Source organism: Homo sapiens, chromosome 18, assembly GCF_000001405.40.
Source record: "Homo sapiens chromosome 18, GRCh38.p14 Primary Assembly".
In the NCBI taxonomy this organism is placed as follows: domain Eukaryota; kingdom Metazoa; phylum Chordata; class Mammalia; order Primates; family Hominidae; genus Homo; species Homo sapiens.
The window spans coordinates 51,813,576-51,824,717 of record NC_000018.10 but is presented as its reverse complement, the minus strand read 5'-3'; positions in this window follow the sequence as shown (position 1 = coordinate 51,824,717).

Genomic DNA, 11,142 nt, shown 5'->3' with positions numbered 1-11,142 from the left:
AAGTGAACGGATACTTGCAAGCTTTGAGGTCATAGTAAACTAGTATTTAATGAAGAATTTTCTTCTTTCTACAAAAGAGTCCATGGATCTTTCTCTAATGCCAGCTTCCATGACATGGTTTCCATGGACTGTGACAAACTAGGATACTCTAACCTTACATGAACACATTCCCACTTCCATTCCAAACAATAGACACCAAGCATCACCACTGTGGCAAATGCCAGTTTGCTCTCTCAGATCTTGAAACAGAAGTTTAGAACTGGAAGATATCAAACTTGACTCTTGTCTAGACCTTTGTGGAAGCACCTGGCTACCTATACCGGCAGGATCAGGCCCAGCCTGATCGAGTCATGGGGTCTTTTCATCTAAGTTTTGCAGAATTCAAGCCTGACATCCCCTTCATTCTTACCTCCCTCTTTCTCTGGTTATAAATCTTTACAGGGAGTGACTTAACAGACATGAGAAATCACAAATCACACTCTAGGAATATTGAAGTCTCCTTGTGCAATCATATGTGGAACTATAGAGTCCTTAGATTCTAAGGACTTAAGTCAATTTTATAAGTATTTACAGAGTACCCACTTTACACCTGGCATTGTAATTTCAGAGGTTAAAAAAAAAGTTGAATCAACCAGTAGAAAAAAATTGAAGTTCCTTGATATTCACTCCTAGAATTCTCACCCTTGGGAAACCTTCTTACCCATCAGCAAAGAGTAATTTTTATATCTTATAAACTTCCTTACCTATAAACTGTTTCTTCACAGGAAAAATAGAGATCTAATATTTGGTTTTCCCAAAAGAACAGTTCCCATCTTCTTGGATATGGTCTCTTCCTTTATTAACTATGGGCCTCAAACATGTGGGTATCACCCTGATTCACCCTGATTTGCTGACAATGTTGAGGAGTGACTGCTGACTGAGTTTCTCACCCCAGATGGGTCAACCTATGATGTTGCTGAAGCATTTTTGAATTTGGATGGAGAAATTGACTTTCAATCTCTCTGTGGAGGCAGGGGTAGAAAATGTAGGGCATCCAAGCTGCTGGTGGCAATGTTTCCAGCTCTGTGGAAGAAGGTAGTGTGTGTCAATAAAGCCAACATACAGACAGAAGAAAGATGAGCAGGTGGTATCCAGGCTGCGTATCCAGTCACACAGAGGATTGACTGTTTATCAAGGCATATGTTTGTCCTTCCAACAATGTAATTAGGTGCAGAAAAATTCAGTAGGTTCCTTTCTGTATCTAGCTAATTTGAACAGTTTCCCTTTCCTGCCACCAAAAACGTTGTGCTAACCAACAGGAAACATAAACATATCCAGTAATTGAAGTCCTATTGTACACAGACTCATAATTCTCCTGACTCTTCATCTATTCAGTTGCACTTTTCTGAGAGTTGATGGAGAGCCCTTGTAACAACCTAGATCCTACCTAATATAAGATCAGAAACTAAGTCCTGTAGCTAAGAGAATATTCTTGGTGGAAATCATTAGAACTCAAAAAATGTTTTTTATGTGTTTTTAAATGTAGATAAGAATGAAGGAATTGGGGAAATACTTTGAAAATAAGAAGGGGCTAAAAACTAATACTCCAGTCAATGTTTTCTGTTGTATCACACAGACGTATATTCAAAGCCCTGTGATATAGTAGAATCTTAGAAAATCCCAATTCTCTCCTAGTCTCTGTGCCCACGTTAAAATTCATATTCTATTAAGATGTTTTTCTGATCAGAGGAAGAATATCTTTAATGTTAACAGAAATAATACCTAAGGAAATTTCCAACAGAAATTGAATACAGTATTCGTATCTGTCCATAAACAACAAACAGGGTGTGTATTTGCATATCGGAGTGAGTGTCGACGAGATGGGTTGGCTAAGAAGAGGCAGGGACAGGAAGGATAAGCAAGGGAGAATGGAGAAAGAAAGCAAATTAATGGCTAGAAAGTATTTTATAGCTACCTGATGTTTATTGACACCCTGGAGGATTATTTAATGCAGGATTTTTCTGATCTGGGTTTAAATAAGGACCAAACTAAATTAGTAGAAGAAAAACTATAGATGTCTTGAAGGAGTATGGCAGTGGAATGGAACATAGACCTAAAGCTAACATTTACAAATAGATAAGGAGAGTTGATCCCAAGAAAAAATAAAAATCAAACAGGCAGATTCAAGTCTCTTTCTTTTAGTCACCCATCTATCTCTTTGTCAGTATTGAACACTTATTATGCTTCAGAGCCAGGGCTAAGGGCTATGGAGAATACAAACATGAATAAGACAGCCCCTGTCTGTAACAATGACCTTCTAGAACAAAAAAAAAGAAGATGTGAACAAAAATAACTCAATACCCAAGACAGTGTGAGTATCATGAGTGATTTAACCTTTTCTTAGGATTCAGAGCAGAGAGAAACCATTTTCTACTAAGAAGCTTCATGGCAAAGGTAGCATAGGAACGCGAACTTACGGGATACATTCACTTTCAAAGCCACTCATCCAAAAATAAGGAATCCCAAAGCATCAAATAAAACCCCTCCATACATGCTTGATGGCTCCTGATACTCAGTAAATGTAATTGACTTGTTTCCCTTCCATTTCTAGCAGTGAGGTCACAGAGTTTCCCAGGGTTTTGCCTGATTTCTTTCCCACTCTCTAGTTTCTTCTGAAGATGCAGTTATTGTAAAACATGCTTTTTAAAAATGCTTTGATGGAAAGGAAGAAGAGCTCAGCTCAGAGAGGAGAAATCCCTTCTGCATTTAGTGAATATACACCAAAGAGGCTCAGATGCTAGACCTAGAATGAATTTCCTGAATAGTTCTTCCAGGTGTCACATTTACATGAAAACACCATCCAGATGGCATGCTAGCCCTGAAGAGACTTGAGACCACAAGCAGAGTTCCTTGTGTTCTTCAGAACTACCAGAGTTGGAGCTGGATGACAAGAAGACATTACAAACCTCCAGTGGCCCTAACCTCCCACCCCTTCAAGCATGCCTCCTCTGGGGAGAGACTGAAACAGCTAAAATACAGAAAGAAGTCTGAGAGCTCCCGGAAAAAAATGACAAATGCATATTTTAAATAAATAGAGAATTCCCTAAAACCAGACAAAATATTTGTAGAAAAATTAATATTTAACCTTAGGCTAAAGAAGATGGAAGGCAGTTCTGTTCATTCCCCAATACACTGTCTCTCCACCATCAAAAGATCTTTGTAGTAGCAGTAAAGAGATAATAGATATAGAAGAATATGTGTGCTTATTGTTTTTAAAAAATAAAACAAGGACAATAAAGAAAACATAAGCACAAATCAAAAAGAATCAAACTGGCATCTTTCTGTTCATATGCAACCTGAGAAACTTGAAGTCTTTGTAAGAAAAGACTCATGAGAGAAAAGAACTGAAACTCAAGAATTCTCCACCTAGCTAAATTACCATTCACCTATGAGAGTAAAATCAAGTTACACAAAGATAAGCAGAAATTCAGAAAGTATTTTACCCAAGCATCCTGCCTAAGAAAAATACCGTGAGGGGTGGGAAGAGGACTAATGCAACAAAAAATAATCCAGAAAGGGATTTCAAGACAAAGAGTAAACAATAATAAACAATAAATATGTTAAATGTATAGATGTGATTACATATAAGAGGGCATAGGATAGGCTTTATAGCTGTCCAGGGGCATGTTAGCATTATTCTCAGATACATATAAGATTTTTAATATAATTTCACAATTCTGAGTTCAGAACATACTTAGATGAGGACATGTTACTTGGGGAAACTGAGAGTGAAAAATGAGAACTGCTTTGGTGACTGAGTGGATCTTACTGTACTGTTCTCTTTGGTCAAGTCTATATTGTATAACAACAGAATTTAAGGTTTCCCAAGGGTTTCCTGGTTTTAGCACTGAAAGTTGCATATCACAGATTGGGCACGGTGGCTCACGCCTGTAACCCCAGCACTTTGGGAGGCTGAGGCAGGCAGATCATGAGGTCAAGAGATCAAGACCATCCTGGCCAACATGGTGAAACTGTGTCTCTACTGAAAATACAAAAATTAGCTGGGCATGGTGGTGTGCACCTGTAGTCCCAGCCACTCAGCAGGCTGAGGCAGGAGAATTGCTTGAACCTGGGAGGCGGAGGTTGCAGTGAGCCAAGATGGTGCCACTGCACTCCAGCCTGGCGACAGAGTGAGACTCCATCTCTAAAAAATAGTAATAATAAAATAAAATTTAAAAGTCCCATATCACAGGAATCTTTTCAGTTAGGACAAAGTAAATGGTTGGTCACTCTAGGTACACCTGACTTAGATGAAGTTGCCCCCAACAAATATTCAGAACAACCTATGTATAGAACTGTCAGGCCTAGGGTGCAACACCTGGGATCCTAAAGTTGTAAAGCAGCAGACCTCCAGCAAAGGCAGGAGGTGGGGGTGGATCTTCCCTGCAGAGGACATGTTGTAATGTCTGGAGATGTTTTTGATTGTCCAACTGGAAATGGATGTGAGGTATTAGAGGAATGCCCCCAGCATCTAGTGAATAGAGATCAGGCCAGGGTTGCTGCTTACTATCATACAATGCACAGGACAGGCCTCCAAAATTAAGAATTATCTGGCCTGAAACATTAGTGGTACCCAAGTTGAAAAGCTCTGGTTTTGATATAAAAAATGGACAAAGAGATACCAGGTCAGTGCAAACCATATGACAGCAGAAGAGCCAAAATTAACAGCAAACAACTTGATTCTACAGATTAAAAACATGAACAAGATAAAGACACACAATTTGAATTGGAAAAAAAAAGACAAAATGATCATAAACCGTATGAACAAAATAATATGTAGGCTAAACATATAAGCCAAAAACTATTGGGAAAGACAGGAAGAATTTGACAGAGCATATAATTATAATGGGAAACAAAACTCTCTCTAGATTAGTCAATTCTAGTAGATAAAAAAATAAACAAAAGTAAAACTATAAGAATTAACACTAAATCTTTTCGATGAACACATTTTTTGGTAAGTTCTAACAATGTACACAAAAACAATCAAATATTTGACCACAAAAAACCATCAGTTTATAATAGATGTTTATAGGCCATATTCTTGCAGGCAATAAAATTAGGGGAAAAAAATAAGTGACCAAAGAAACTTAGCTGATTCAGAATTAAGGAAACAAGCAAAAACAACAACAATAAACTTAAACCCATATAGCTCTAGCTAAAATTAAAATGGAAGTTATAATTTATCTACAAAGCAATTTAAATGAACATACATGATACCACAATTTAAAGGACACAATGAAAATGATACTTAGGAGAAAATGTATTGCCTTAAATGTCTTCATAATTAAAGATGATAAAACTAGAACTAAGAACTTAACTAAGGTAATGTGAGGAGGGAGCGAGGGAAGAAGAGGCTGACTCCAAAAGAAGGACGAAAGTAAAAGCTGAAATTTTGGAAATAGAAATAGAAAAAAATAAACATATCCAAACCTAGTTATTTGAGAGACTAATATGTTAGTAAAGTCTTTTGTGTTCCAGAACATGAAGAAACAAAAATAAAGAAGCCTAGACATGAGACTAAGGCTCTAATCAGAGATACAGAGGAAAGAAATTCTACTTGTAACAATGGGGCAGCAAGTTTTGGGGTCCTGGATAAAATGAATTATCGGACAAATATGAATTACTAAAAATTTAAGAACAAAGATATATCAAAGCCAGAGAAGATTAGGAAAGTCATTAAATACCCAACCTTGTGAAAACAGAATGCTTAAATTTCTCTAAACAATAGGAAGAAATAGAAGGCTCTCTAATTCACTTTTTAAATCAGCGTAAGTTCATTATCAAAAGTTGAAAAGGTAATATAAAAAAGAAAATGATAGATCAATCTTATGAATAAAAATTAAAATTTTAAATACCCTATAAAACAGTTGGTAATACAAAAATCAATATATTTGAAGAAGCTGAATTTATTTCAGGGAAGAAATAGTGTTTTAATATCAGGAAATTTATTAACATAACTTACTATATCAAAAAATAAAATCAGAAAAAATAGTCTATTATTATGGATTCTGGAAAAGTACTTTAAAACCTTCATATATTCCTAATAAAAAAGACTACATACCATCAGAAAGAAACAATTTATATTAACCAATCATGTTGGTTAGTCATTTATCAAAAACCAAACACAAATACCATATACAACAAAAATTATTTCAATATAAACCAAGAACTAGAAAGAAATCTATGATCATCATTACTATTCAAAATTGACTTGGCAGCATCAGTAAATGTAATAAAATGAGAAAACTAATTTATATACACATCAAAAGATAAGATAAAATTTATATTATTTTATAGCTAGAAAACTTGTGAGATATTAGTTTAAAAGAAATACAAAAACCTTATCCTTCTAAGAATAGAGCTTTGTAAGATGGATGGATGCAGGACAAATATATAAAAATCAATAGCTATTCTCTATTCTAGCAAAAAGTAACCATATATGAATATGTGAGGAAAAGCCACTTGCAATCAGAACAAAACAAATAGGAATAGACTTCAAAAGAAAAGGAGGGGATTTATCTTAATAAAACCAAAGAATATTAAAAGAACTATAAGAATAAATAAGTAAGAAAAGGTATAAAATGTTGTTATGGAAGAGTTGATACAATAGAAATGTTATTTCTTTCAAAATTAGTATACAGCTCATTTCAATTAGGAAAAAAATTAACACGAAAGAAGAAATGCCTGAGAACAGACAATAAAGCTATAAAAAGGAAGAGAAGAATTCTGAAGGGAAACTTGCCTTTCTATATAAAGAATTATAAATATTTGAACAGAAAATAGAAATCAAAATTAAATCACTGTGTGTTAAGTATGTGGCAAGTTCAGTAGTTCAAAATTAGTGAGAAAAGGAACATGAACATGTGAATAATTGAATATGACACAGCTAGTCATTCATCCACCCAGAAGAAAACAAAAATGGGCTCCTATCTTAAAGTTTTTACGTGGATTAAAAGCTTAAATTTTAAAACACTATATATAATAAATATCATGAAAGAAAATCAAGAAGTCTATTATATAATACAGAGTTCAGGGAAACATTCCTATTCAAGACTGAAAACTCAGAAACTAAAACTTAAAAACACTGAAAATTCTTTGAAAAATTAAAACTGAAAATGCATATATCCAAAAAGATACCATGAGGTCAATGTCATATATCTGATGAGGAAATATAACACAGATGTAAGATAGAAGGACAGTTTCCTTAATATACCAAGAACGTTTACAAGTTCCTAAGGAAGAAAGACAATTCAGGAAGAATTGTACAGGAAAGGAATATACATAAAAATTGATAATTTATGAACAAAAATTTAAAATGACCAAATACATGAAAAGATTTTTATACTAATGAAAATTTAGCTAAATAAAAAATAAAGTTAAAGTGAATGATTTTACATCAGACTGATAAAAACTAAAAGGTGTTACACCTACTCTTGATAGGGATATGGGGAAAAGGAATTCTCATCTATTGTTGGTAGAAGGTAATGTGCTACAGCCTTCTTGAAGAACAATCTATTAAAACTGTTAAAATGTAATAAAATCTTTAACTCAGCTCGTCCAAATTCTTCCTGGAAACCTTCTACAAAATTGTTGGAAATAGCTAAAAACTGGATTAGCTATAGTTATTGGCCTGTTAGCAAAGGAGTTGCTGAGTAATGTATGGTAGTTTCACCACGGAATGTTATGTAGCTACTTAAAAGAGGGAATGAAAACTGCCAGAGGCGATCTTAACAAAGTATTATTGGGTAAAAAAATATATATAGAAGAAAATGTTGGTGTTGCTTAAATCCAAACACGCAAAAATAAAGAAAAAAATATATATATATGTTTATGCATATATGTGTGTATAGGCTTATCTAAGTAGAGGGGAAATAGGAGAGAAAACCCATCTGATTGTTTTGTAGGTTACTGGAAAAGGAAGGGCATGTTAAAATTTGTGTGGGATTAGGGAAAGAAAATCAAAGAAACAAAATTGAAAAATAAAGATGACAAAATCCCATGATTACTGTTTACTTACAAATTTAAATAAAATTATATATTTGAATAAAACTAAATTTAAATAACTGAAAATTTTAAAAATAAATGAACCTTTCCTGCTATCTGTCCCCACTAAGGCCATGTAAGTAATCACAGAAACACAGAACGGCTCTACTTCACAAATGATGAGGAAGTTTACCTTAAATCAGATAAAAATTGATTTTGTCACGATGAATCTTGATAGTGACATCAAGGCCTTTGATTGTGTTTTTCTAACATTATTCTCAAGAATTGGGTCTATTCCTCATAGCAGATAACCCAGTCCCAGACAATATCAGGCCCAGTATTCTCATTTGCTAGATGAGGAAATTAAGGTTCAAGGAAGACTGAAGTCATTTTTCCTAGTTGCAGTGCTCAACAACGTGGAAAATAACCTAGAAACTACTTCCTCTCCACAGGTTTCTCCAACTTTCAGCTTTGTTCCCATTATTCTATGAGGCCTCTGCCATCCAGGATTTGGAAGAATTCTCTCAGGGCCATACCAGCATAAAAGAAAGAAGTAGAAATCAATAGAGTAGAAAGGTCTCATCCTCCCAGATGGAGCACATATGACATTTTCTTCTTAAGAAGAGGGAATTGTGTCATGTGTATGTTCATTGCCACACTACTCACAATAGCAAAGACATGGAATCAACCTAGGTGCACATCAATGGTGCATTGAATAAAGAAAATGTGGTACAAATATACCATGGAATACTACACATCCATAAGAATGAATGAAATCATATTCTTTGCAGCAACATGGATGCAGATAGAGACCATAATCCTAAGCCACTTAATGCAGGAACAGAAAACCAAATACTGCACTTTCTCACTTGTAAGTGGGAGCTAACCACTGACCACACTTAGACATAAACAGGAGAACAATAGACACTGTGGACTTCTAGAAAGCGTAGACAGGGAGCGGGGCTTGGATTGAAAAACTACCTATTGGGCCGGGTGCAGTGGCTCACACCTGTAATCCCAGCACTTTTGGAGGCCAAGACGGGTGGATTACTTAAGGTCAGGAATTCGAGACCAGCCTGCCTAACAAGGTGAAGCCTCATCTCTACTAAAAATACAAAAATTAGCCGGACGTGGTGGTGGGCACCTGTTATCCTAGCTACTTGGGAGACTGAGGCATGAGAATCACTTGAACCCGGGAGGCGGAGGTTGCAATGAGCTGAGATCACGCCACTGTATTCCAGCCTGGGCAACAGAGTGAGACTCCATCTCAAAAGAAAAAGAAAAACTACCTATTGGTTACTATGCTCACTACCTGGGTGCATATACCCACATAGTAAACCTTTACATGTACCCCCTTTATCGAAAATAAAAGTTGAACTTAAAAAAATTCCCACCAAAAAAAAAAAACCTCTTGCACCAGACACAGTGAATCACAGTGTATCCCAAAGCTCTACCCATTTACTTACTTATGGAAGTCATGCCCCAGCCAAATGTCTACATGCCTACATAATGCTCTTACCCATAAGTTTTTATTCAATTGTTCATGCTCCAATCCCAAGACCATTACTTCTTTAACTCAGTTGGTAATTTTCACATATCCAACAATTGTTACTACTCCTACATGAGTAAGAAGAAGCTGAAACAAAGGTATTTAAAGTCATTCTCTCCCCCTTTTTAGAATAACAGAACAAGTTAACATGAATTAACTACTTCATGCAACGCAGATTATTAATGAAGCCCTGTCGCTAATTTAAGCCCTAGAAAGATCAGATTATTTTTTCCTGCAAGAGACTAAAATTGCAACGTTGGTTACTTAACAGTCAAGCAAGAGGCTATGAATCCCTTGTTGCCAATTCAGTATCTCCACTAGAGGAATAATTTAAGGCATATGACCTGTTAGGTAGGTGGAAGATAACTATTGTATGCCAAAGACATCATGTTTCTATCTTCAGCTATATTTCTGTTTTCAATTATGGAGTAAAGAAGTATGGCTAACATCCAAATCACCCAAGCTGAGCAGCTCCTCCTAACTCAGTCCACAAGTATTTGTTCATTATTCCAAGTAGCAGCGCTGAATAGGAACTATGTGAGAGCTACAACCCTGGCCCTGATTAAAGCTGGCAAAGTTATTTTGCTTCTCTGTGACTTAATTTCCTCATCTGTAGAATAGATTGTTTTCAGCTCCAATAAAATAAAGTTTGTAAAGTGGTCAGCATTGTGCCTGGCCATACAAACACTTTAAAACAATTACAGTAAGTTCTCATTTAACGTTGTTGGTAGATTCTTGGAAATTGAAACTTTAAGTGAAATGAGCCAGGCACAATGTGTCATGCCTGGAATCCCAGCACTTTGGGAGGCCAAGGTGGAAGATCTCTTGAGTACAGGAGATGGAGATCAGCCTGTGTGAAATGGGGAGACCCTGTCTCTAAAAAAACAAACAAACAAACAAATTAATTAGCTGGGCATGGTGCTGCGCACCTGTATTCCAACTACTCAAGCTACTCAGGAGGCTGAAGCGGAGAATCACTTGAGCCCAGAAGTCAGAGGCTGAAGTGAGCCATCATTGCACCACCGCACTCCAGCCTGAGTGACAGAGTGAGACCTTATCTCAAAAATAAATAAGTGAAAGGAAATATAACAAAACCATTTTCCCCTCATTAACATTATAACAAAACAATGTCAAATGAGTTATGCTATTTGAAGACTTGCTTGCTGTATGTAGTTTCACTTAAAGTCATAGTTTCCAAGAACCTATGATGACATTAGTGAAGACTTACTGCACTGTCATTTATAAGGAAAGTCTTTGTATTCAACCCTACTGGCAGGCTTTGTGGAAATCACAATCAGAGACAAAATCCTCACACGCACATAAAAATTAGAGACTTAATTGCTGAACCTAGCTGGTGCATATTCTGAGTCCTTTTGATCCTTAGAAGTGAGGGAGGTAGATGAAGAATTGTAGTGGTATAAGTATTACAAGTCCATGGGAAAGAACCTCAGTTTCCAGGAGAGATCCTCTGAGGAGGAGCTAGGATGTGATGATCTGAATCTTTTGTATGTGAATACAGCTTAGGAAAGGGGAATAAATGACCATGGAAATGATTTCCCAGAAATTTCAAG